General features: G+C 50.4%; 1 protein-coding gene and 2 long non-coding RNA genes across 19 annotated transcripts in view, besides 5 other annotated features; 2 read left to right on the forward strand and 1 right to left on the reverse strand.

The window, feature by feature from the left end:
• Positions 1-27,009, reverse strand: part of BTG4 (BTG anti-proliferation factor 4) — a 130,900-nt gene that overhangs the window by 55,099 nt on the left and 48,792 nt on the right. The window contains exon 6 of one of the 16 annotated variants that reach the window (XM_011542880.3): positions 20,321-20,564. The exons of the other annotated variants lie outside the window; for them this stretch is intronic. Within the exon in view, the coding sequence (XP_011541182.1) occupies positions 20,546-20,564 (19 nt within the window). The 3' untranslated portion in view covers positions 20,321-20,545. Of the gene's footprint in view, positions 1-20,320; positions 20,565-27,009 lie in introns of those variants that run through there. 16 annotated transcript variants of the gene reach the window in all.
• Positions 326-375: a silencer, noted in NCBI's record as "silent region_3896". NCBI's record gives its function as "represses an Ori minimal core promoter by ATAC-STARR-seq in GM12878 lymphoblastoid cells {active_cell/tissue: GM12878}" and the evidence as "EXISTENCE:reporter gene assay evidence [ECO:0000049][PMID:35858748]".
• Positions 374-960: an enhancer, noted in NCBI's record as "H3K4me1 hESC enhancer chr11:111310023-111310609 (GRCh37/hg19 assembly coordinates)". NCBI's record gives its function as "activates a minimal SCP1, AML or CMV promoter by ChIP-STARR-seq in primed H9 embryonic stem cells {active_cell/tissue: H9 hESC(primed)}" and the evidence as "EXISTENCE:reporter gene assay evidence [ECO:0000049][PMID:30033119]".
• Positions 396-465: a silencer, noted in NCBI's record as "silent region_3897". NCBI's record gives its function as "represses an Ori minimal core promoter by ATAC-STARR-seq in GM12878 lymphoblastoid cells {active_cell/tissue: GM12878}" and the evidence as "EXISTENCE:reporter gene assay evidence [ECO:0000049][PMID:35858748]".
• Positions 1,797-2,996: an enhancer, noted in NCBI's record as "BRD4-independent group 4 enhancer chr11:111311446-111312645 (GRCh37/hg19 assembly coordinates)". NCBI's record gives its function as "activates an origin of replication core promoter dependent on BRD2, P300/CBP, MED14 and CDK7 cofactors, and independent of BRD4, by STARR-seq in HCT116 cells {active_cell/tissue: HCT116}" and the evidence as "EXISTENCE:reporter gene assay evidence [ECO:0000049][PMID:35650434]".
• LOC107984386 (uncharacterized) lies at positions 6,940-9,720 on the forward strand. The gene is made up of 3 exons (XR_001748382.2): positions 6,940-7,043; positions 9,210-9,303; positions 9,629-9,720. It is a non-coding gene; the product is annotated as an uncharacterized LOC107984386 (long non-coding RNA).
• Positions 7,728-7,907: an enhancer, noted in NCBI's record as "active region_5516". NCBI's record gives its function as "activates an Ori minimal core promoter by ATAC-STARR-seq in GM12878 lymphoblastoid cells {active_cell/tissue: GM12878}" and the evidence as "EXISTENCE:reporter gene assay evidence [ECO:0000049][PMID:35858748]".
• On the forward strand, positions 10,414-14,621 carry LOC644277 (uncharacterized). 2 transcript variants are annotated; one of them, XR_001748381.1, is made up of 4 exons: positions 10,414-10,569; positions 11,416-11,521; positions 12,323-12,485; positions 14,485-14,621. It is a non-coding gene; the product is annotated as an uncharacterized LOC644277 (long non-coding RNA). The 2 variants fall into 2 exon arrangements; XR_001748380.1 differs by lacking the exon at positions 14,485-14,621 and having other exon boundaries at positions 12,323-12,541.

Genomic DNA, 27,009 nt, shown 5'->3' on the forward strand with positions numbered 1-27,009 from the left:
AATCTCTGGCCAACACATTAAACATATTTTCAAATCCCCAATTCCCTGAACTTAAGGGAAAGCAGGCTGCCCCGGCCTGGGTACTGGGTGTTACCTGACTAGCACGTGGGCTGCCCCCTGTCCCGCACACCCACCCGCTGGGCAGCTAAGCCTCTGCGGTTGGGACCCCAGGGAGGCTTCCTGGTGATTTGCATATAATCACACAATGCCAGGCACAACAAAGCCACTCAAACAGCAGAGCCTTCTCAGCTGAGTTTAAAGTTTAATCTCCTTAATACAAAAGTTTCTGCTTTGCTTTTGATGGGTTCTGGAACTCTTGCTGATGATGCTAAACAAATAGTCACCCTTTCTCCCCCTCTGGAGGCTTTGCCCAGCGCATTGTGGCAGCACAGGCCCCAGTTGTTGTGGTTTACGGGCCAGACCTGCACCTGCACTGTTTGTGTGAGCTCATCTGGATGCCCAGAAGGGCTCTTTAAAGAGAGCCCAGCACAGCCGCAGATGGAGCAGGAGAAGACACCAGCCCAAGGACTGCTACAACCCTTGGCCAGACACCAGCTCAAGGCTGCCTGTACTCTCGGTGCCCCCCACCGCCCTCTACTTCCCTTACAGAAACATTCATCCCCAAGTCCTCCTCCCAGAACCCAGCTCCCTCCTATGTGTCTCTCAGGACCTTCCTCTTCCAGATGCCGTCCAGCCCCCTCGTACTTCCCCTCCCAGACTCACACCCCCTCTCAGTTTCTGCACACTTTGCCTCATCATCTGGAGGCCATTCCTAGGTCAGTTTTCCTATTTACTTCAGCACTTCACCTATAGGAGTCATAGAGCCATCCCAAGCAAAGAGCCTCTAGAAGACCCTTTCAAAGACATGCTCAGCACTTTACGTTTTGGCTCCAGCTCCTCCGCCCGGTCATTTTGAGAATGAGCCATGATCCTCCATCTCTCATATTGATGCGGGAATTGGAAGTTGGTCATTGAACTGGTGGCCTGAATAGGGGTGCCCCAGCCATCTTGGTTATCTGTTTTTGTGTAGCAAACAATCTCAAAACTTAGCAGCCTAAGACAACGGTTGTTTTATTTTATCTCACAGTGCTGTAGTTCAGAAACCTGTTCAGGGCTCAGCTGGGTAAGTCTGCTCTGTTGGCATTGGCTGGGGTTACTCTGTGATCTGGGATCTAAGATGGTTTCATTTTCATGGCTGGTGACTTAGTGAGTATGGCTAAAAGGCTTGGCTCAGCTGGGACTGTTGAGCAAAGGGCCTGCACATGGCCTCTCCAGCCTAGCAGATCAAGGCTCCCAGAGAGAGTGTCCCAAAAGAACTCTGCAGAAGCTTCAAGCCTTCACATGACCTAGGCTCTAAAATCCCAGAATCTCACTTCTGCTACATTCTATTAGTCAAGCAGATTCAAAAGAAAAGAAATTGCAACATCTTTAATCTGTCACACCAGCTAAAGAGGTCTTTTCAGAAGCCACCAGCCCCTGTAACTAGTTCAGAGACAGAGTTTCCTGGTCCCAATGTCTAAATAACCTATCCTTGCAAATAGAACATCACAGTTACCAGCCTGCATGTACTAGGAGCTGACATCCTTTCCATTCTTTCCCCAGAGACTCAAACCAACATCCTACCCCTGGGCGGTGTCCCCATTTGACCCCGTTTGGCCTGCCTCTTACCTACCTTGGCTGTTGGCAGGAACTTTGGTTTTTCTCAGTTGCTGCCAGACCTAGATCTGCCCTTTTCAGATTTTTGTTCACAGATAGCTTTAGATGGGAGATAAGGAAGCTTGAGTCAGGTCAGTGCTGAGGCGAAGATGCTGCCCCAAGACAGGGGGAATGCCCCAGACTTGTCCCATCCAGCCCTTGCAGAATGGCACCAGCAACAAGCACCTGCTGTAGAGAAGGGTTGTCACTATGTTGCAGCTCTGAGACTCTACAGAAGTCAGAGGTGGGTCATGGAGATGAGGGGACAAGGAGAGTGAGGAGGGGATAGGTGACTATCTGCCACACCACTTAGGTACTGAGTCACATCAACATGTATGCAATACCTGGTCAGACAGGCACCCGCAGACCCATCTGGCCCAGACCAGCTGCACTTTCCCAGGCTTAGGCTGGGAGTGGCAGTCATCTGGCAGAGTCTTGGTTCCTGGAGTGAGGGCACAAGGTCACACAGGCCAGGGCCAGAGACCGCTCTCTTTTCTTTTTTTTTTTTTTCACAAATACATTTCAAATGTTATTATGAAATATGCAAGCCATACAAAAAGGAATGAAGAATACAATAATAAACACCCATGTACCCACAACCTAACTTAAGAAATAAAATATTAGCAAAGAAAATCTCATAATGTAATATCTCAGGGCTCTGGGGAGTAGGGGAGAGAACAGGGTCTGCTCATGTTCCCACAGGAAGGAAGGAGTATTGAGAAGGAAGAGAGAAGCAAACTAGAGCATCAGCAGCGGCTCCTCCGAGAGAGAGATGGCTCCTTGAGCACCAGAGTCAAGGGAGATTTTATGGGCTTGGGAACAGACCACAGAGAATACACCACCCTTCTTCTTTCAACTCTCAGCTCAGAGACTTCCCAGATCCCACAGTCTGAATTAGTCATGAGTTCCTTAGAGATGCCTTACGGATTGACTTCTCTGTCCTTGTCTGCTCTTGGGCTGTTTATAATATATCCATGCCTCTCCCACGCCTGACTATAAACTCCGTGACTGTGCCTCGCTTTTGATCTCATGAAGTTCTTGTACAGGGTAAGAACTCCTTGTTATTGACTTGAATGTGTGACTAATCCTGGGAAACCCCCATGGTTGACGGGCAGGGGACAGAAGCATTAACAGAAAGGGAAAAGCAAAGCGAGTTGGGCCGGGCATGGTGGCTCACGCCTGTAATCCCAGCACCTTGAGAGGCTGAGGCAGGCAGATCACTTGAGGTAAGGAGTTCAAGACTAGTCTGGCCAACATGGTGAAACCCCATCTCTACTAAAAATACAAAAATTAGCCAGGCATGGTGGTGCATGCCTATAATCCCAGCTACTCAGGAGGCTGAAGCATGAGAATCACTTGAACCCGGGAGGAGGAGGTTGCAGTGAGCCGAGATCGCACCAGTGTACTCCAGCCTGGGTGACAGAGCAAGACTCCATCTCAAAAAACAAAAAAAGAAAGAAAAGTGAGTTGAACATAAGAGACCAGAGCATAGCTAACACCCAGACTTTGGTTTCTAATAACATTCTCCAATAAAAAGGAACCAGAACTCCTTGGGGATATGGCCAATTCTAGGACGGGGACAGGAAATATACGAGATGAGATCAGGTGCGGTGGCTCACGTCTGTAATCCCAGCAATTTGGGAGGTCGAGGCAGGTGGATCACTTGAGGTCAGGAGTTTGAGACCAGCCTGGCCAACATGGTGAAACCCCATTTCTATAAAAATACAAAAAATTAGCCAGGCATGGTGGTGCACAGCTGTAGTCCCAGCTACTCAGGAGGTCGAGGCAAGAGAATCACTTGAGCCAGGGAGGTGGAGGTTGCAGTGAGCCAAGATCGAGTCACTGCACTCCAGCCTGCATGACAGAGTAAGATTGTTTCAAAAAAAATGTATACACACACACACACACACACACACACACACACACCAGATGAGCCTGGGGCATCTTATAGTGCCAAAAATATAAGGAAGTACTCGAAAAACAACAACAACAACAACAACAACCCACAATCATGAGGTATGTCCAAAGGACCCCGTAGCCCACTGGCAGAGCTCACAACAACCAGCACTGGATCATTTTGAAAGACAGGGAAAAAAAAAAACTCTCTATCTAAATCTAAAGTATGAAATGAATACCTATAAGTCCATATTGATATAAATAAATGTTCACGTGAATAAATAAAAATGAAGAAGCAACAAATCTCACATGCAGAAGAATCTCAAATAACTTGCATTCGATTAACTTACGTTAATTTCAAATAACTTAATTCCACCCTCGGGGAGGGATAAGGCAACTGCCCACTCCTTAAGTGTGGGCTGTACATAGTGATTTTCTTCCAATGAGCATAGTGTGGAAAGGGAAAAAGAGTAACCTCTACAGTGGAGGAAACCTGGCCAACGCTACCTCAGCCAGGTGATCAAGGTCAACACCAACAGTGATACATCATGTTGATTGCATGTACCCTTCATACAACGTGATGAAAATGGCACCTTGCCTCTGTGGTCTTCCTCTCAAAAACCCACACCTCCAGTCCAAGCGTTAGAAAAACATCAGATAAATCCTAACTGAGGAACATTCTACAAAATATCTGACCAACATTCCTCAAAACTGTCAAGGTCATCAAAAACAAGGAAAATTTGAGAAATTCTCTCAACTGAGAGTAGGCAAAGCAGACATGATGACTGGATGTCATATGTGGTCCTGGAACAGAAAAAGACAATAGGTAAAACTAAGGAAATCAGAACAAAGTATGGGTTTCAGTTAATAATAATGTATTGGTTCATTAATTATAACAAATGTACCATATTAATGTAAGCAGTTAATAAGAGAAGAAGCTGGGTGTGAGGTATATGAGAACACTGTACTATCTTTTGAAATTTTTCTGTAAATCTAAAACTGTTCTTAAAAAATAAAGTTTTTCAAAAAAATATCAGCACATTCTAGGAAAAACTTACATAACTTAAAAACAGAGGGAAAAAAAAGAGAGACAAAAGGGACTTTGGGATCATGGAAATTAAGTCGTCCCCCACCTGTCAGACCAGTGGAAAGTCAGGTAAAATCAGAACTGAAAGTGACATCCCGGGGGCACTGCCAGGGTCCTGAGAGAAGGCAGTTTGGGGATACAGTGAAAGTCAGACAGCTGGGGGCAACAGGACGAGGACCTGGGTGCAACAAGTGTAGGGCAGCAATCAGAAAGCGTGGTCTTTAGGTATGGGCATAGATGAAGCAGGAAGCCTCACTTAGAAGCCTCCAGCTCGAGGACGCTTAGCAACACAGGTGAGTATTTAAAACAGTGCAGAGTGGGGAGTAAGAAACCAGGGTGAGACAGCACAACCACCTCTGCAAGCATTTAAAACGGACATGTGCCTAAACGATGCCTGCTTTGCAGGAACTCACAGACACACATTTGGTTTAACAGAATTATTTTTTATGGGGAGATGGAAATAAGAATAAATGGAGAAAAATAAATGAACAAAATAGGAGAAGTTTCCTGCCCAAACCACACCAGCAATGACAATGTTCCATGAACTGAGTGTAATTAATTCAAACCACTACCCTGAGGGGTGTGTGTGTGTGTGTGTGTGTGTGTGTAGAGACAGTGTGTGTATGTATGTGTGACTGAGAGACAGAGAGAGAGGAGAGGAGAGGGAGGGAAGAGGAGAGAAGGGGAGGGGAAGGCAGGGGAGGGGAGGGGAGAGAAGACATAGGAGAGAAAGGAAAAGAAACAGGAGAGTCCTAAGAGGCAATGTCTCACTTATTTGTGGAATCTAAAGATCAAAACAATTGAATTCATGGACATAGAGAGTAGAAGGATGGTTACCCGATGCTGGGAAGAGTAGTGGGGGGCTGGGAGGGAAGGTGGGGATGGTTAATGGGTACCAAAACAAATAGAAAGAATGAATAAGACCTACTATTTGATAGCACAACAGGGTGACTATAGTCGATAATAACTTCATTGCACATTTTAAACTAACTTAAAGATTGTTATTGAATTGTTGGTAACTCAAAGGATATGTTTTTTGACACATGAGATGTTTTAATACATAATACCCCATAAATATATACACCTACTATGTACCTACAAAAATTTAAAAAATAAAAATTAAAAAGTAGAAGAAGAGGTAAGGGAATCAAATGAGATTTTTTTCAGAACTGGATGAAAGGCAACAGAAAAAGGAATGGTGGAAAGAGGGTGGCTGAAGACGTTAGGAAAGAAAGGCAGGAGAGCGCAGCAGTAAAAGCTGGCGTGGGGGATTCCTCTGTGAGAGGCAGGGGAGTGGTCAGGCTCTCTCCAAGGCAACGGTCAACCAAGAAAGTTTGTTTTTGAAAACCATAACCTTCTCTGTCAAACGGGACAAATAGGACATAAGCCTTAGAGGACAAAGACAATAGATATTGGTGAGGGGATAGAAGAAGCAGTGGCGAAGAAGAGAGATGGGGAGCCCAACGGCTACCCTCATGGTACCGTGCTAAGGTTAAGGTTGCCCTCGTGGTACAGTACTGTGAGGAAATTACTGATGGGTATTGGGGACTTGCCCTCATTCTGCCATCAACCAGTTATGTGACCTTGTGAAAATCCCAAACCTCTCTGAGCCTCAGTTTCCTCATCTTTAAAATGAGATGTTGGAATGAACACGCTCCCTTCCCTAATCCAGCAGTTAATGCAGTCTGGGAGTTCATGCAGGAAGGAAGACTAGTGGCATTACCTCCTTGAGGCTGGATTCACAGCAAAGCCTCCAGCATCTATACCTCCACTCCTATTGTGTATCGTGCCAACAGGGTCCGGGGATCCTCTGAGCCTTTTCAGCCTGTGTGGGCTGTCACACAGCTCAGTTCCACATCTTTCATCGTGCCCTCCTTTGTTATATACGTGGCCCTATAAGGGCAGTCCTCTGTATTCCCACAGGACTGAGCCTAGGAAAGAGGTTCATTAAGTATTTTGCCACATTCTAGGCCCAACATATCCCCAATTGCTAAAGGCTCTGAGGCAGGACATTTCAAAGCAGAGAACAATTGTTCTCTAATTAGGATCTGATTTTTAATTTAAACTTCAACCTGAAAAGCAACCTGAACTCTATTTTAGTCTTTTCCGGTTTGCCATTCCTAGAAATCCTGTCCAGTGACCTGACCTTGTGGGAATTTTCCATCTTGTCTTGTGTTGACTCAGGACAAGACACTTCCTCCCTCTGGGTCTGAGTTTCTTCATCCACAAAATAAAAGAGCTGAAGGACACAGCCCCTAGGATCCCTTCCAGCTCTACTACTCTCGCCAGTTGGAGTAATCTGAACCTACTTAGGCCCCCAGGACCTTTCACCAGCCAAGTACAACCTCCTTGTCCCACTCACCAGGTAAGAAGTTACCTTTGAGATGGATTTCACAGAAGGGAGGAGAAGTGCAGAGAGCTAATGGCCATGATTATAATAGAAACAGGATAGAGAGACCACAAGGTTACAGAACATCCCTTAAGACCTCAGAGCAGTAGGAAGCTTTCCCACCTACCTACCCAGAGCAGAAGGAAGGTTGACAACGTGAACCTACTTTCTACTACCTGGGAAATGTATGTGATTGGTATGGAGCGAACAGGCTTCAGAGCAAGAATACCTGGGCTCTACCCTGGCCTCACCTCCTATTACTGGTATGATCTTAGGCAAGTGATTTCATCTTTTTGTTTCTCCATTTCTTAACACAATAAGTGGGGTTCATTACAATGTCAATCTCACAAGGTAGTTGTGAGTACCAAAAAGCGTGGTGCATATCAAAGTTCCTCGCAAAACTTTGATACTGAAAGCATGGTCCAATGAGGTCAGCCTTCACTGAGAGCTTCTTAGAAAGGCAGAATCTTGGGCCCCACCCCAGATCACCCATACTGTTGAATCAGAATCTCTGTCTTTAAAAGATCCTCAGGTGATTGGCAGGGACAGGAACGTTTTGGAATTGTTGCAAAACATTACACAGATGCTAATCTTACTTCCTATAAAAAATAATTAAGATCATGACACCAATAAACACACACACACACACACACACACACACACATCCTCCCCTGCAACAGCATTTCCTCTTCTCCTTCCACTGGACTCCTCCACGCCCTGCTCACCACTTCCTGCAAGCTCACAGTGCCACCATCTGGACAAACAAAGGCAAAGCAGATGACTGAGATGTGCAGGGAAGGACACTCAAGGGCCTGGAACACCCAGAAGAGAAGTGGCTTTGTGGGAGGAAGTCAGCCTGTGCTGAACATTATGGTAACCACCAGCCACCTATGGCTACTGAGCACTTGAAATGGGGCTACTACAAGCTGAGATATGCTGCATATCCAAATGCACTCTGGATTTGAAAGACTTACTACAAAAAAAGAATGTAGCTCCTGGAAGCTAAGTCTTAGTCCTAATTACTGCGTGGCTGTCCCCCCACAGGTAGTCTCTGTCACAACTCACCACCTGCTCCCTGTGCCCCGGGAACTTTCCTCTCTGGAGCAGGACCCTACAACGCCTCCTTCTGCCACCTCTGCCCTTTTGAAAAGTAATTAATGACAAGGCCAGGACCTGAGCCTTTCTCTCCACCACCTGCTGAATGCTTTATCCGATACATCATGTGGTTATCCAAGGATTCACTGGCAGTTTTACAGTTTCCAGTTTTTCTGGGTATGCATATTCTTTAAGAGCACTTGACTGGTTGCCTGAATTTTCAGTCTTTCTGGACCGCAGTCTTCTTTATAAACTGGGAGAAGAGAACTAAATAATCTCCAACATCCTTTCTAAAGCTAAAACCATATGGGTCTCTGAAACCTGGCTGTACACGCACCAAAGGCAGAAGCCTCGGGTTTTATTTCCTTTGCATCTCTCCTGCAGCATTTCACACACGGAGAGTACTTAAAGGAATCTGGCTGGCTTTGCCTTGCAGAAGAAGGGAACTGAGATGTCCCTTGCCCTCACTAAGCCCAGTTATGCACACGCATGCACACACACCCCACCAGCTTCTCTAGGAAGGAAAAGGAGATAGGAGATAGAGAAGAACCGTGGAGAGCAGAGGCGGCAGATGGAGGCATTCCTCCGGAGAGGAAGGTTCCCGGAAGACAGGGAGGTAGGAAAAAGAGAGTGGAGACACTTAAGTTGTCTGGGCCAAAGCTGCTCAGAGGATCCATATCTTAGATTTCATCCTCATGAAATATTCAGTGAGTGCATCCCGGAGCTCCCATGGGTGGCAGAGGCTGCCCTTCCTGGGCATTTCTCTCTGAGTTGGGATCCTGGGTCCACTTGTCCCTGTGCCTCTCCTGTACCGCCACCCTCATCTTGTTTTCTCATAGTGTTGCTGGCACTGGGCCTCTGTGCTTTGCTGCCTTCTAACTCTCCATCTGCCTCCCCAGCGGTCTTTCTCAGCATCTGTCCACCCTCTTACTTCTATGCCTACCTCTCTCTCTGCCACTGTCACCCCACCCAAGGGTGAGGATGCTCCCCTTTGAGGGCACCCCAGTGACATGGGCTTCCATAGCTGTCTTCTGCCATGCCCTCCAGAGTGCCACATGCCTGAGCACAGAGAACCCTCAGGACTGCGGGAATGAGACGCCTCGTGCAAAAGAAGAGCGAGACCCACCAGGATGCAGAGAGGGTAGGAGCTGGGGGTATAGTTGAGGAGTGGGGAACAGAAAAACAGCTCTGGGGGAAGATGCTGGCTTTATGAGACACCTGGGCTGGGCTAGGGCTCAGAAGCCCCCTAATGGGAGAAGAGCACTGTCAGGGGTCCACTTGTGCCCCTGTGGGATCGTGGGTGACCCACCGCTCCTGGAAGCTAAGTCTTAGTCCTAATTACTGCATGGCTGTCCCCCTACAGGTAGTCTCTGTCCTAACTCACCACCTGCTCCCTGTCCCCCGGGAACTTTCCTGTCCGGAGCAGGACCCCACAATGCCTCCTTCTGCCACCTCTGCCCTCCCAGGTTCTTCAACCCCTGGCCCGGCCAGGATGCCTGTTTCCCCTGTGGCTCAGAGGCCACCCAGCCAGAGAAGGGCAAGGACACGTGTGTCTGCCGGGGGCCTGGGCGAGTGTTCCAAGTATGTCCTCTGGCAGGGGGGCCCAAGGACAGGCTGCGTTTCCAGGACTGTTTTGGTCTCAAGTCAAACTCGGCTCAGGTGTAACTTGACCAGGGTTGGCTCAGGTTTCCAAGTGACTTGGGGATAGGGTTGCCAGATAAAATACAGGGTACCCAGTTAAACTTGAATTTCAGATAAATAACAAACTTTTTTTTAGTCTTGCATGGGACATAGTTATACCCAAAAAAAAAATTGTCTAAAATTCAAATTTAACTGGGTGACCTGTGTTTTCATTTGCTAAATCTGGCTCGCCTTCTCCAAGAAAATGACAGACTTTATGTTGCTTTTTGCCACGATCACTTCCAAAACACATCCTAGCCCAAGCCCTTCCAACTTGAACGTTCTCTGCAAGCCAACAAATGTGCATGTGAATTCTTCCTTTGCTGAATGTCTCAAGTCTCTTTTTTTATTGAAATGATAGCACCAGCCAGACCCTTACCAGAACAGGCTGGTCTCCCCCTGACTCCTCCCCTGCCCTGTTTATTGCTCATTTCCCCGCCCCTGCCCTTGTCTTCTGGCCCATTTCCAAAAGGGTCACAGCCAAAAACCTGGGCATGGTTCACCACAACGAAGTATTAACCAACCAACATGAACCAGCACTCCTCCCTCCCCCTCCCCGCCCCCAGCCCAGTGACAGTCGGTACCCCTGCCTCCCGGGCCACCGAGACTTTGGAGAGCCAATGGGCTGTGTCCAGTGGGAACACAGGAGCTGCAAGGACGGAGCCACTGGAATCAGGAGGGGCTATGTTTGACCAAGGCTCAGTGGAATGACCACTGTGCCCACGAGGTAGGAGAATGCCCATCTATTATGTCCTTGGCCTTCCTGCCCCTCCACCCTCCCATTCAAATGTCCACCATTCCAGCCACTGGGCTCATTCCATTGCCCCTCTCTGGAAATATAGAGGTCAGTACTTTGCACTCTCAGGCAGTTCCTAGAAGCAGCTGGAGAGAATGAGGAAGAGCTTCCCCAGGGAGGTGTCCCCAAGAAGTTTGAGTCTTTGTGCAGGTGTGTGCCACACCAGGAGATGCCCATGGACATGACCCAAGCCCTGGGGCTCTGCCTGTGCTGGGGACAACAGTCAAGCAGAATGTGCAGCCCTCTGTGCCCAGAGAGACAGAGACACATCTTGCAGCTCAGCTGCCCTGATGGCATCCCACAGATTTCTGTCACTGAAGGCATGGGGAGTCAGGTACAGTACTCTGAGGTCCTACCTCATGCAGAGCCAGGGCCTGTGACTTCTGCCTCCAAAGAGGGAGCATGCAGGACATGCCTATGTGCAGGGTCCAGAGGCTGCTGCTGCCTGGCCCACATCACTGGCACCTCACCAACATCAGAGGCTCAGAACCAGAGCAAGGCCCCTTTGTTGATTTTATTTCATCCTACAAAACTCCTTGAATAAGAGGTCATTGTGTTCATGAAAGAAGAGGGACACTGTCCAAGAGGTCATGACTCCAGGCTGCCCCTGCCCCATGGAGTTCTTGGAACTATTCCCACCCCCACCTCCCTTGTGTCCTTTCAGGACACTCAGACACAGCTCAGGGAAGGGGCTGTGTTCGCCCTCCCTTCCTACTGGGCAAGTGTGTGACTCCGTGTCTTGAGGGAAGATCTGACACTGCCTCTTTTCGTTTCCAGGATTTTTACCTTCTGGACCAGCCTTCCCCACCACGTGCTGTGGGCCATCCCTGCAACTTGGACTTAGGGCAGAAGTCTGTCCCCCTCTATGTGGTCAAGATGGATGGTAAGAGAGCTGGACAGATGGAGGCCACAGGGAGGCCTGTGGCTCGGGACCACACACATGCAAGCCTTGTCCTTACCAGGGCGTGTGCTCTGTCCCATGACCAGAAGCTGAGGTTTGACAGGGCAACCACTCCCCTAGGGAGGGCTCCCTGAGAACTGCATGCAAATTCTGACCCCCCTCAATGTTTCAGAAAGTTGAAGCTACCACGTGCAAACCAGGCTGAACAGCTGCTGATTATATACATGCTCTTGGGAAAACTCTTACCCCGGTCCCTGCAGGGTCAGAGGGAATCCCTGCTTGTTCTAGCGCTTGGCTTCCTGGGCCTGACCTGACCAGATGGTGAGCTACTACACTCCCTAGGCCTTCCCCTCGGGGATCCCAGGTGTCCAGACCAGGATCCAGGTGGGCATCGCAGCTCACCTGTTGCCCCTCCTATCCCTCCCCTACCCTTCCCAGGTCCCAGCACAAACCCATCTGAAGAGTGGCAGCTCTCCCTCATTCTCTGAATCTTACCTAGGAAAGTCTAGGGAAGGACATCTGGACTCTTCTTGGTCACTGAGCCTCAACTCCACACATCTTGGGGATCTGCTGCCCCCAGAGCCAGGCATCCGAAACCCCACAGTCTGCCTCCAAGTCAATGATACCCTGGCCTTCCTGGTGACTCATGAGCATTACCCAGAGTATGACCTGTGAGTGTCCAGAGACCACAGCCCCATCATCATGGAGGCCCTAGAGAGGAAATGCCCCTGCATCAGCCACCACTCCCAAAGGCAACGTATTCCCTCCTTTCTCTCTCCTCAGGGGCCACTTCTATAACACACTGGAGCAATATGACTGGCGGCGCTTCCGGGCCCTGGCTGAGGAGTCCCAGCTCTATGAGCAAAGCCTCAGCCTCTTTCTGCAGCAGTTCCAAAAGCCGGGCATTTATGTCTTTCGTCTGAGCAGCAACCGACATCGGAAGATGGTTTGTCTACGATAATTTGCCTCATTTAAGACATTATCCCATTATTTCCCCTCTCTTTAAAAAATACTGCTGCAGGCCAGGTGTGGTGGCTCACACCTGTAATCCCAGCACTTTGGGAGGCCAAGGAGGGCAGATCACCTGGGTCGGAAGTTCGAGACCAGCCTGACCAACATGGAGAAACCCTGTCTCTACTAAAAATACAAAATTAGCTGGGCATGGTGGTGCATGCCTGTAATTCCAGCTACTTGGGAGGCTGAGGCAGGAGAATCGCTTGAACCCGGGAGGTGGAGATTGCAGTGAGCCGAGATCGTGCCACTGCACTCCAGCCTGGGCAACAAGAGTGAAACTCTGTCTCAAAAAAAAAATAAATACTGCCTCATAACCAGCTCAGACAGATCTGCAGGGAAGGAGATGCCCTGATGTCCCTATCAGTTTCAGGGTCCCACAATGCTAACAGATGGTCCTGGGATGCCAAAGTTCATTTCACAGCAACCCAGCATGTGCTGTGCAAGGAGGGGAAGGTTGAGAGGATGGGAACACAAGTATGTATTCAGGGACATCAATGGCATTGAGCGGCTTAGGACCTCTGGCTATCTCTCCCAATCCTCCACTTTGTCTCCCCCCGACCCCCATCTGCCAAGCCCACCTATGCATGGTTTTATCTGTGTGACCTGCACATTGCACCACCACACTGATCCAGGTGTGCTGTTAGTGCCACACACAGCATTTAGTATCTCCCTGTCAGCACAACATCCAAGAGGTTTTACTGGCTTAGTCCCAGAACATGCACACAGCTCCCTCATACAGATAGTCATCTGATTTGAGTCATCTGATGTGAACAAGTTTCCCAGGAAAACTCTGATTCTGCCTCCCAGTCCCCAGGTTTACACAGTCATCCAACTATTTGGTCGGTGTTGGCCGGCGTGGGTCCCACTCTGTCTTGTGGCCAGTCTCTGGCAGACAGTGGGACAAAGACTGAACAGACTTCTTTCCATCCATTATGTCCGGGCCCTCCCGCCAGGGGGCCAGTGCTGTGGGGAAGGGCCCTTTGCCTCCACAACTCCCAGGTATCTCATCCAGACTGGCATCGCCAGGATCCCCCAGGCCCTGAAGAGGTCTGGCTGGCCAGGACTCCTGGGGGAGATTGTGCTGCTCCTGGGGCTTTGAGTAAAGCCAGACAAGCGACATCTTAACCACTCCACAAGACCACCTCTCCAATCCCCTATAAGTGGGTCTTCCATTCCTGTTTATGATAAGCATTCTAATAGTTGCTAAGATGCAAAGGTGACAAAGGTGCAGTTTCAAGCCTCCAGGGCTTGAAACAAATACATGTCAGCAAATATAATGGAGCTAGCTAAAGCATGTCCAGGGTGCACACCAAGGCAGGAGTTGACTGTTCTCCCTGGAGAGGGTGGAGGTCAGGACAGACTTTCCGGAAGAGTTGATGCCTGAATGAGGTTTGAAACAGGAGAATTATTAATATAATGTGGTCCCTGTACTACCAGAGGGTTGGTAAGTTGAGGAGGGGGTACGCAGTGGGGAGGAGGAACAGAGATGAGAAGGGGAGTATTGTGAGCACAGCAAGCACATAGGCATGAAACAACACACATCTCCTCTGGTGACCAAACGGGGTTTCCCATGACTGGAGCTGAGGTGTGAGGACAAGGATAAGGCTGGAACTGGGAGGGAGACTAAAATGGGATGGCCTCCAGGCCCTGCTAAGAAGTTTGGACTCTAACCCCTAGGCAAGGGATAAGAACTTTCAGCAAGTGAGAAAACCTGGTCCAACTTTTATTTGTACTCTAGCAGTAGGGTGGAGGACAGAGATGGATCAGAGGGGGAAAAACGACAGAGACCTAAACAATTAGTCCAAGCAAGAGAGGATGAGGTGCTCCCTAACCACGGTGAAGTGCGACCTGTTTCCTTTCAGAGTCTTCAGGAAGGATGCTGCTCCCTCAGCTCGCCCTTCCCTTCCCACTCCCCATTATGTACTCTGTAGATGCAGTGTCACAGCCTGAGCTGGGCTCGGAAGGCTGCTCCCCACCCCACCTTCAGGAGACATCAGCAAGAATGCAACCTCGATGCCTACACTTCCCCAAGAACTGGGATAATGTCAATAAGGAGAGGCCGATCTCACCAAGACTCTGACGCCCCCAGGGTTGAGGGGGGTCCTGGTGAGTGACAGGTGGGCTAGAATCCCAGAGGCACCCCCAAATCCAACTAGCCAGCTCCTGCTTCTTTTTTCCATCTTCCAAGATTGCTCAATTCTCAATTCCTCTTCATTCATCCACTGATTTGCTCAAAAAATCTTTTCTGAGTGGTACTGTATGTCATAACACTGCCGGGCACTAGGCATAGGCAATATAGAGCAGGAAAGAGACATCTAAACACACTTTCCAAAAGAAACATAGTATAACCGTGTACAAAGCAGCCAAGTTACACAGTGACCAGTACTATCTAGAGGAGCAAGTTGCAGAAGGTATTTATTGTATGTCACACTGAAGGGTTCCCCTTCTATCCTTGCTACTCACAGCATGGTCCTCAGACAGCCACACTGGGATTTGTTTGTGCTCCTAGAACTTTAATGTAGATATGAATTTCCTGGGGATCTTCTGCTTCAGTAGGTCTTGGATGAGGCCTGAGATTCTGCATTTCTAACAAATTCCTCAGTAGCACTGATGCTCCTTACCCAAGAACTACACTTTCAGTAGCAAGACTGTGCCTGGACTGTTGAGGCTCTATAGGAAGAAGATGCATGGAAGATCTGTAGGGAAGCTCATATTTGCATTTCAGGAGGATAATCCTTCTTCCCTCCGACCCCCACAGGTGGGAGCTGGGAGGCTGAGGAGCAGGTAGATCTGGAGTGGTTTGACACAGAGGCCTTCTTTGGAGACTGCCTCAGGCAGTCTCTGTCAGTGACAGCCAAACTCAGCCACACGAAGGAAGAGGTAACTGGCAGCTCCAGGCAACACTTCTACCCAAGACTGGAGGAACATGTGGGGCTAGAAAGAGTCTCCTCTTCAGGAGAGTTGGTTATAGGACATAGAGTCCAAAGAATATGGAACATAGAGTCCTAAAGGAATCAGAATAAAGGAGAGTATATGGGAAGGGGAGATAGAGGATTTCAGATTAAAATTAGAACTGATTTCATGAAACCTAGGGCTTCGGACCAGTAATAGGGATTCTACCAAGGCCACCATTGGAGTTCCTTCTCAGATCTCCATCCCTAGTCCTCGGTAGCCCAACTAGGTGAGCAAATTTATGCCAGTAGATGGCAGGCATTAGAAGCAAAAAGAATACATTAGAAGTCCAAGTACCAAAACTGGGCCAGGGCTTCCCCAGCAGAATGTGCATGCTGAGACTGGCTGGGACGAGCCAGTGTCTGTCCTCATTCACTCTTTCCAAGTGTCTGGGTTGGGGGTTGGGGGTTGGGGGGTGGGGTTCTGGAGTCTCTCCAGCTGTTGGCAGCAGGGGGCGCTGCAATCACAACAGTGAGAGGCTGGGTGGCTCCGGGAACAGAGTTCACACACACTCAATCCACCCTCTCTCACAGCTCAAACTCCTCTACCTTAAACTTCTGGGTGAAGCCCGTTCTCTCCAGCAGCTGTGGGGAACAAGGCGCTGCCTCCCAGCCTCCGCTAACCGGCTTCTGAGGAGCGTGCAGAGGGAGCAGCAGCAGGTGGGCTTGGTTCACGCCTTCCTCTCTGGTCTCTGTGCCCAAACACAACTCCCTCCCCTCACTGAGGTCCAGGCTCCCTCCCTTAGCACCTCCCCAACCTGTTCCATCTCCCTGGCCCTAAAGCTCTTACCTACAGTTCCCACCATCTCTGGGAATTTCTCATCCCCTTTGCCGCTGCTGCCATGCCTGTCCAGAATAACTCTGGAGTTCCCAAGGTGAGTGGGGTGTCCCCGAGCTTGCTGTCCCTGGTGGCTGTAGCGCCTGCAGGTGAGCAGGCAGGGTTGTCTCTGACCCAGGCTGCTGAGGCAGCTGCCTGGGCTGCAGAAGAGAAGGCCAGCCGGAGGAGGCACCTGGCAGGCGAGTACGCAGCCAGCCTTCGTCACCAACTCAAGCTCCTTCGCCAAAACCTCCTCGGGAGGCAGGAGCAGTGGGCCTCTTTCTGCTCGACGCTGAGGGAGGTTCAGCAGCAGTTGAAAGCACAGATGGGCTCCAGGTCAGAGAAATCCTCTCCGGCTGGGCAGAACCCAGAAAAGTGTGGATCTGGCCAACCTGGATCAGACTTAGGGAGACATGAAATGGGGAGGAGAGAATGTGGCTGCAGGGGGTCCCGGAACTGGCCAAAACAAAACGTCCTTTTCCCACCCCTGATTGCTCCTGTGCCCCTGCAGGGCAGTTCCCCAGCTGGACACGGTGCTGGGCCACCTGTCCCAGGTCGTGCTGCAGGAGGGCCACCGCCTGAAGGCCTGGGGCATTCTGGGCACCGGCACTGGGGCGGAGCTACTGAGGCCAGGTGAGCTTTGCTTGGGCCTCAGCCAGGGCCCCCCAGGAAACCTGGCCCTGAATCAGGGCAACTAGCCCTGTAGAAACTCCAGTTCCACCCCCAGACACCCAGCAGGGGAGGAGAGGTAGAAGAGGGCAAAACAGAGCGGACACCCCAAGGTCGGGAGGGGCTTCCCATGCAATGCCTGCCCAAAAGAAGAAGGAGCCTCGAAAGTGGGAAGAACCAAGGAAGAAACAAAGCCATGGCAAGTCATAGCTTTATAGATCCGGAGGCACTTCCTGAAAATAAAAGCCTGGCAGATGAAGGCAAACGGCCAAGTTTGGTAAATGATGAACCTGTCTTGGGGTCTCGCAGGCCTGCTGAGTCCTGGGAATCCCGTAGCCCCCCTGTAGGCTGTTGCCACCATTTCCCGAGGCTTTTCCAGTCTCTGCCGGCCTGCGCAATGATATCACAATGGCACGTGGAATACTGCTCTGGAGTTAGCAAAGATGAGACCCCTGCCCCCTCAGGAGCACAATGTCTGTGGAGGCTGGGGAGGAGTTCTCACCAGCTCCTTCCAGTCACCAGCCAAGGGAGTCCCCGCATGTTCCCTCTCCCACCGGCCCCCAGCCCAGGGCTGAGCAGGCAATGATTGCTTTCCTGCAGCCCCAGCAGGCCCTCCTGGTGCTGATGACATCAGTGTGAACCCCGTCACCAAGTTGATGGTCCCTGGCCCCAACTCCTTGATGCTTCCAGCCAGCGGCCACGCAGGCTCCATACCCCCTGGCTACTTCATCCACCCTGACACTGGGAGGGTGCTGCCCGAGGCTGGACACCTGGGATATGATCTGCTGAGAGCTACCCTGGTGCCCACTATGGACACCAATGCCGGTGAGCCCCTGGCCCACTGACTATCCCCAACTCAGCTCTGGGCTTCAGAGATGAGGCAGGGCTTGCTGGGACTCTCAGGAATGAGCTCCCAGGGAGCACAGCACAGGACGCAGGGCTCTCTCCTTGGACAGTGGGGCTTGGTGACCAGCAGAGTAGTAAATACTTCCTTCCCCTCCTCATCTTGACATTCTTGCTGGATCCAGAAGGTGCCATGAGCTGCATGGTAAAAGGAGGCAGGTCCCAAGGCCCCTCTGTCCTGCTCTGCAGGGCTGAAGGAGGCTGGTGCATTAAAGGGTACCAACAGCTCCCTGTATCCCTGTCCAGGTGGTGTCCGAACATCAGAAGCTGCCATCCTGCCCTATGTGCCCTACCCAACCAGTCCCACCACAGGTTCCCCTCCAGCCACGCACCTGCCCATCCTGCAGCCAAGAAGGACGTCCCCGCTGGGGGCTCTCATGACAGACCCCGTCACAGGCATCAAGGTGCCCGTGCTGGCTGTGAATCTGCACCCCCAAACAAGGCAGTGGCTCACTCTTGGGAGGACATACTGCAATCCTCTCACCAAGACCTTGGCCCCTCTGGAGATGGGGGGCCCATGGAGGATCCAGTCACAGGAGGCATCTCGCCCATCCTGGGAGTCGGGTTGGATGAAAACACAGGTCTCCCGGCAGCCCTCAGCATTGTCCTCCCTCGCCCTCCTCCATGCCTGGCCTGGCCTCCCAGTCCCCTTCCTCTCAGCCCCCTACACCCTCCATGTTCTGATCTGAGCCACAAACTCCACCCACGACCCTCTTTCCACCCTTCATCCTCTCAGCCTCTTACCCCCAACCTTCCCTCTCCCCTTCCCCATCTCTACTCCAGTGCCCCTGGGGAGGGGAAGAGAAGCAAGGTACTTCTATAAAGTTAATGGACACTTTTCAACCAAAAAGGACCATTTCTCCACCTGTCACCACCATGCTCTACCCCCTGCCCCCTCCCTCTCCCCCTCCTCCTTCCCTCCCACAGCTCACTTCCACCCTTGTGCCCTAGTTCCCCTTATGCCACACCTGCCTACATCCCTGCTGGTTCCCTCTCCCACCTTGCCCCCTTGGTTTCTTTCTTCCAGCTCAGCTACTTGTACTGGGAGGGCTGCGAGATGCTTCGGGGAACCTCTTGCTGCCTGGTGACAGCTTTGTGGAGCCACTGAGCAGGAAGACAGTCCGGCTCCAGGGGGCTTCCTGACGAGAGGGCCAGACATTGCCCCATATGGGAGGGCCACAGGCCCTGCTGGACACCAATGTGCTAGTGGCCCAGAGGCAAGTGATTGCAGTGCTTCAGCCGTGCCAGGAGAGTCCAGAGTCGGGTGTACAGGAAACTCTGGAGGCTGCCATTAAGGACATGAGACAGCCACTGGCCTTGACTCTGCACCATGTCCTGCAGCAGGCTCAGAGGCTGGAGAGGCAGCTGGTGACAGCAGATGACATTGAAGCCAGTGGTGGCAGGATAGGTATGGATGAATCTGGGCCAGAGGCTCTCAGGCCCCGATATCTCGGGCCCAGAATGACCTGGTGCTTTGATGCTCCTAGGCCCATAAGCTCAGGGACAGGGCTGCAGCCCTACTGGCCATGCACATGCGTGACCAAGGGAAGAGAGAAGGAACTCCATGACTTCATACCCCGACCCCATGAGTGCTTGACTGCCTCCCTGTCTTAATTTCTTGCCAATGCCATTGAGTTATGTTATGGAGCATACATTCTCTTGTTACTTCATGGCTCATGAAACACCACCAACAGGTGCTATGATACCCATTTTAGAGTGGGAAACCTGACATTCAGAGAGTTAAATGAGTTGCCCAGCTGGGGTCCTCTAGCTGCAAAGCCTGAATCTCCTGAGTCCTCAATCCCTTCTCACCTTCATTCTGCAGCAGTCTTCCACTTCCCACGAATAAACGCAAGAAAGGAGTTCATCCCAAAACTCCACCTCCCACCGACAGCCCTGATACAAGGAAAGGCAAGGAGAAGTAGGAGTGGCATCTTCCTGGAGTTAATCTCACTCATTCTAGAAATTACCCTCTTCCCACAAATAACAACAAAACAAAAAGAACCAGGTCAGAATTGACTTGAGTTTGAAGACCTGCCCCACAATTTATTAACTCTTTGACCTTGGGCAAGTTATTAAAACTAACCCCTCCCTGCCACTGTTTTACCATCTTTTAAAAGGAAGAGTAAAATCGTGCATACTGGCCGGGCACGGTGGCTCACGCCTGTAATCCCAGCACTTTGGGAGGTCGAGGCAGGTGGATTGCTTGAGGTCAGGAGTTCGAGACCAGCTTGATCAATATGGTGAAACCCCGTCTCTACTAAAAATACAAAAAATAGCCAGACATAGTGGTGGGAGCCTGTAATCTCAGCTACTTGGGAGGCTGAGGCGGGAGAATCGCTTGAATCCAGGAGGTGGAGGTTGCAATGAGCTGAGATCACATCATTGTACTCCAGTCTGGGTGACGGTGAGATTCCGTCTCAAAAAAAAAAAAATTGTGCATACTTTATAGCTTGGGTTGTAGGACTGAGTGAAATATAACTTCTACAGAGTCCTGAGTTCAGATTCTGAGGAATGGCAGGTGCTCAAGAACACAAGCCCCCTTCTTTTAGAAGTTGTTCTCAGCTTCTCAAAAGGTCTGATGCCACTCAATTCCCACTTGCTTCTTCCAAAACAGGCCATTAGGGCATTGTCCTTTCTTCCTTTCTGAATTCAGAATGCTAAGTTGAGCCTAAAGAAAACAAATGTAGTGTTTGCAGGGAAGCCTCTCTGGTCAGGGACGTAGTACTTTGAACCTGGAAAGACTTCAGGGTGATGCTTAACCCGCAACTCCTCCTCTTCACTCCCTCTCCCCCTGGTGTTGGGAATGATGCGCTATCCTGGGACAGAGCTGTGGGCCCCAGCCCTGTATGGAATGGAGATCCCAGATCCTGAGGGCTCGGGGCTCATGGTGCCTATCCTGGGCATGGAGCATGATGAGAATTCTGGCGATGCCACACCGCTGGCAGGCTCAATGGAAGACGCTGATGGCAAAGGTAGGAGAGAACTTTGGACCTCTGAGAGCTCAGGAATGTGACTTAGCTCTGGGAGAGAAAACCCCCTAAAGCTCAGGAGGGGTACCCATGTGCCAAGGGAAGGGGTCATTCTGGTCTTCTGCTAGGGCTGCTGAGACCCAAAATTAAAGGTGCCCAAAGATTCCAAAACCCCAGGACCATAAATCATGTATGTCTCCCCTAGATTATTGGGTCCTTTCAAAGACCAGCACTTCAGAAACTCACCACCCACCCCCACGCCAGGGCTGTGGCCACCAGGAGCCCTATAATCCAGCTTAGAGCCCTTTGAAGGGCAAAAGGAGGTCAGGGGCTCTTCTGGCTTCCTTTTTGCCAGAAAAAGGACCTGCCTTCCTTCCCCATCTCTGGTTTCTAAAGCCAGTGGTGGGCTTGGCATCCCACAGGTCTAATCCCAATCTCGATTGGGGCTCAAGCCATAGACCCCTGGACTAGAAAGCCTGGTCCTGTCATTGGAGCTCAAACGGATCTCTCTGCCAGAGTGGTGGTGCCCGTTGTCCAGGTGCTGGAGGCTTTACCTCGGGGAGTGAGAGACCCTGGTCTGGTATGTAGGGGGGTTTATTGTATTCATTTATTCATTCATTCATTCACTCAGCAACTACATATTGAGAGCTGTGTTCCAGGCAACATGTTAGGCATTGAGATACAAGGACAACTAGATAGGGCTCCCAAGGAACTGGCTGGCCATGGGTCCCAAACAGTGGGTGGTTCACAAGGGTGTTAAGAAAGCTCAGGGGAGGGCATCTCAACACACACAGGAGAGCTCAAGGCTTCCCAAATGAGGTAATGCACGCAGCAGAGAGACAGCAGAGAAAGTCACTCCAGCCTCGGGGAAAGCAAATGCAAAGGCAGCAAGTATGAGAAATGTATCTTCTATCATGAAAGCCACGGGGAGCTGCTGAAGGGTTCTCAGACATGGGATATAATCAAATATAAATGCAAGACTTTAAATTTTTGAAAATATGAAACAATACAAAACATAAGTTACTCATACAATTTTAAAGTATGTCAATGAAGAAGCAAAAGCTTTCCTGCCCATTCCTCTCCCTCCACCCACAGTCAACACCCCCATGGCATCCCCATCCAGGCACTCTTTACCTCTCCCCCTGTCTCTCCCACCAAACCCAGCCACTTCACAAGTTGGCACACCTCCTCCCATTTATTTTTATGTTTATGTATGTGTAGGTACAGTCAGCGTTCTAGAAAGCTCTCCCTGGCAGCTGTGCGGAGGATGGATGGGAGTGGGGCCAGACTAGCAGAGGAAGCCCCGTCAGGAGGTTATTGCGGTAATTCAGCCATTGGCAGATCTCCACCACAATGAAAATGATTTAGGGCCCCCATACATTCTCAGTCTGGTTACGTTTCAGAAACTGTGATAAAAGGTATGTGATAAATAAAAGGTTCTTGTTAGAAGCCAAGAAATTTCAATTCTAGCCCTGACACCACTGTTTCACAGGTCAGTATGTCTTCACGATATGAGGAGGGTGAGAACAATTTCCTGCCGCCACGTGCCTGTCTCCTCTGGACTTCCCAAGAGAGGAGTGGGGGCAGGAGGCATGGGGGACTCTGGAGCAGGTGTCACCAGGAGGGAGGGAGGAACCAGGGAGCTTGAAGAAAATGTATGGTTATTTTTCTAGCTAAAACCACGTTGTTGGAAGGCAGAGGTGGGAGGATCACCTGAGGTCAGGAGGTCAAGACCAGCCTGGCCAACACGGTGAAACCCCGTCTCTACAAAAATATTAGCCGGGTGTGGTGGCAGTCACCTTTAATCCCAGCTACTTGGGGGGCTGAGTCAGGAGAATTGCTTGAACCTGGGAGGCAGAGGTTGCAGTGAGCCGAGATTGCGCCATTGCCCTCCAGCCTCAGCAACAACATGAGACTCCGTCTCAAAAATAAATAAATTAATTAATTAAATAAAACCAAGTTGATGGCCTCACCAAGTTTAGTCATAGATACCCAAGGTCAGGGAGGGCCATTACCCTGTGAAACTTTGGGGATCTACGGCTGGACCACGTGGGGCCATGAGCAGAAAAAGCCAGTAAGCCCTAAACAGGCTGGATATTGTAGCTGGACATCCTGGAGCAGGAGTTGAGAGCCCAGGAGCAGTACTGGTGCCACCAGGAACAGGAGGAGGAGCAGCTACTGGAACAGCTGGGGCACCTGAGCCAGGAGCTCCACTCCACGGCAGAAAGTGGCGCTGAGCAGCAGGTGAGGCCCAGAGGCACCACCTCACAGTCCCCACCCATCTGCCAAGATTGCACAGTTTTCTCTTTGAAAGTTTGGAGTCCTTTTCTCCCTCAACCATGGGAATGAAATCCATCTCAGAAAAGACACAGTCCCAAGATTCCCCAGCCCCAGGCCCAAGATTTCAGTCACCCCTAAGTATCTAAGCAGGACAGAGGTAGGGGAGGAAAAGCAAACAGGAGCCCCACCCAGAGCTCCTGCCTTCCCCTCCGAGGCCCATTCCTTTGTCCCTTCTGTCCTACATAGCTGAAGGCTGAAGAGGAGGCCTGCCAGGCCCTTGAGTCCCGCTGCCTGCAGGAGATGGAGAGAAGAGCCAGGGCTCTGAGCACACACAGCAGCCCAGAGCGGGGCCTGCTCTCTCAAGGTGGGAAAGCATCTCCTAGGCTCAGATCCCCACAGCAGAAATCTCCAGGGAGTGCATCACCACAGATAGCTGCCCCGTGGGGAGCCCCTCCTGCCCTCTGAATGTGCTCAGCTCTCCCAGGCTCAGCCAGGCCCTGGCTCTTACCTGCAGGTTCCCCTGACTCCGATAATCTATTGTCTTTTCTTCTCCTCCCTACCCCTGGTGGTGGTCGCTGCCATGTGGCCTTTTCTCTGCCATTTGCAGCAGAGAGGAGTGGGAACAGGAGGCACAGGTGGTGCTAGGTATGCAGAAGGTCCTGCAGTTTAGGGCAGGCAGCAGAAAAGCTTAGGCAAGCAGCTGGCCGGCTGCAGGGCCAGGAGGAGGAGATGCGGCTGCAGCAAAGCAGGAATCAGAGCCCACAGGTCTGGAACCGCCCCAGGAAGGTGACGCTCTGAGGCTGACAAGGGTCCCCACATGTGATGAGCACATCCTCCCACATCATCAGATGTGGCTCTTCAGGGCAATGTAATATTCAGGGGTAGGTGGGCTCAAGGAACCTTGGATGTGCCAGAAGGGGAGTGAGAAGAAAGAAGGCTCATCTTAACTTGGCCATTACGTTCCCTGTGTTGTAGGTGGTTCAGCGTCCCTCTGATGAGTTTCAGTGGGTGGTGAGGGAGAGACAGAACTTCCTGGCTAAGGCCCTGGGTCAGCTGCAGTACCGACGGGAGTGGAGCTGCCTCCAGCTGTTGCACACCCAGGTGCTGATCCCTGGACTGGACTTGGCTGAGGAGATCTGTATTTCCATCTTTGATAGGGGGCCTCAGAAAGAGACTCCCAAGGCAACCACGTGGGACAGGTGGGGACCAAGCATGGAACTCTGTGCTATTTCATCCTAGATGATTGCCTCAAGAACCCCTGTGTGTTTGGAGAATTACCCTGGAGACATATTCTATGGAACAGTCACCACTTCTCTCAGGGACCGGGCTGCTACCTGCCCCCTGTTGATCCCATTCCTGAAGCAGCTCACTGCAGCGCTAGTAGGAGCTCCAGGGCTGGAGGATCAGAGGCCAGAAACAGGTCAGGCTGGTCCCTATTCCAGCGTTGTCTTCTGCAGCCAATCCTGGCCATTTCAATAGGTCCTAATGCTACACTTAGAATTCCCAGCACCATAGGCGTGTGTCCCCAGTAGGTTCTTTAGGAAGAACATTAGAGGAACCAAATGCATTAGTTATTGATTGCCATGTAAGAAATGACCCTAAAATCTGATGGCTTAAAATGACATTTATTTTCTCACAGTTTCTTTGGGCCAAGGATCTGGGTGCAGCTTAGCTGGGTACCTCTGGCCCAGGGTCTCCACAAGCTACACTCAAGGTGTGGGCCAGGACTGCAGTCATCTCAAGGCTTGACTGCTGGAGGATTCACTTCCAAGCTCACTCTTATGGCTATTGGCAGACCTCAAGTCCTTGCCTGCTGTTGGCCAGAGACAACAATTCCTGCCATGGACTTCATGGGCAGCTCACAACATGGCAGCTGGCTTCTCTCAGAGGAAGGAGGCCAGAGAGTGAGAGAGGGCGAGCAAAGTGGAAGCCAACGTCTTTTTTTGAGATGGAGTCTCTCTCTGTTGCCCAGGCTGTAGTGCAGTGGTGCAATCTCCACTCACTGCAACCTCTGCCTCCCAGGTTCAAGTGATTCTCCTGCCTCAGCCTCCCGAGTAGCTGGGATTACAGGTGTGCGCCACCATGCCCAGCTAATTTTTTTGTATTTTTAGTAGAGACAGGGTTTCCCCATGTTGGCCAAGCTGGTCTTGAACTCCTGACCTCAAGTGATCAGCCCGCCTCAGCCTCCCAAAATGCTGGCATTACAGGCATGAGCCACTGTTCCCAGCCCCACAGTCTTTTTGACTCAATCTCAGAAATGACAACCCATCACTTTTGCCATGTTCTATTCATTTGGATGAACGACTAGATCCAACCCACATGCAAGGGGAGGGAATCACACAAGGGCATGGATACACATTAGGGGGTCACTGGGGCCATCTTAGAGGCTGCCTGTCACATCCAATGCTACAGCTGGCTCCTTTTGGCTTTGGCCACAACCCTAGGCCCTCACCTCAATAACTATTTTATTCCCCTCTGTTCGGATACAGATAAAGCTGACATCATCTGGACTTCACCATTCTTCTCCATCCTGAAGAAAACAGACATCTGGTCCCAAGCCCACAAGGAAGAAGCTGAATTGCAAAAATAAGTGTATCACAAACCAGGTAACCTTTTCCCTTGTAGCTCCTGTTTGGGATTCTCATGGGGGGCACTGAAGGTATGTGATGGGGTAACCCCTGGGATCTAGGAATGTTAGAATCCTGCCTTGCCAAACATCTCTTTCTCTCTACCCCCACACTAAAGTTCCCCAAGTGATTTTCCCATATAAGGAATAACAAATAGGAATCAAAGTACCCTTATAACTATAACTGAGCAAATTTCCAAAAGGGAATTTCCAAAGGCCCCCTGCCTTCCCCATCAAACATGAATCTAAATCTTGGGACTTCACCCCATACCAGCCAGCCACATGTTAGAAGGAGCTAATGTAAAGGTGTGAGGCAGGAAAGGGAAAAAATGAAAAGGGAAAAAAACAGAAGAAATGAACGAAGAGAAGACCTTGCTCCCCAAAGGGACCCCAGATCACTTTACCAATACCACTCCTTGGAATTGGAAGTCAAGAGAGCACGTGGCTTTCCTAACCTGAAGAGCCAGGTCCGTTTCAACTCACACACATCCCAAGTGGAAGAGAAGTAACAGAAAATGCATGTGTGCCTTTCAGTAGACCACAGTGCAGGGCTCCAGGTAAGCACAGCACCATGAACACCCCTGAACTTGAGCAGGGAAGTGCAAACTATGGCCCACTCCATACCTCCAACTCCAACCTGCTACCTGTTTTTGCATGGCCCACAAGCTAAGAAAGATTTTACATTTTAAAATGATTAGAGAAAAAATGACAAAAGAAGAATAAAAATTTTATGGAGTGCTTTATAATATGCCACATACTATTCTAACTCTTTAGATGTATTAACTCATTTACTTTTTACAACAACCCAGTAAACTATGTACTATTACTCATCTTATAGATGAGGGAACTGAAGCTCCTGGATAGGTCAAGAAAGTATTCAAAGATCATATTGCTAGTGAGTAGTTCAGCTGGAATTCAATCCCCAAGAGTCTTTCCCCAGACCCTGTGCTCCTCACGTGCTTCCTCAAATGAAAAGTTGTTCAACACTATGAAGGCAGTGCCAAAAGAAGATGCAGGTAACACATTTTGGTGAGTTCCCAGGAGGGCAGATCACTTGCTTTTCTGGACCAGAGAAGCAAGAGAAGGCTTTGTAGGAGAATGAGGCCATGCTTCTACCGTGAGGAAAGGGAACACTAACTTTGAACCCTAATTTTGGCTTTTGGCTAACAAAGCCTAAAATACTTACTATCTGGCCCTTTCCAGAAAAAAAAAGTTTACTGACTCCAGAGAACTTGACC

Source organism: Homo sapiens, chromosome 11 (genome assembly GCF_000001405.40).
Source record: "Homo sapiens chromosome 11, GRCh38.p14 Primary Assembly".
NCBI classification, from domain to species: domain Eukaryota; kingdom Metazoa; phylum Chordata; class Mammalia; order Primates; family Hominidae; genus Homo; species Homo sapiens.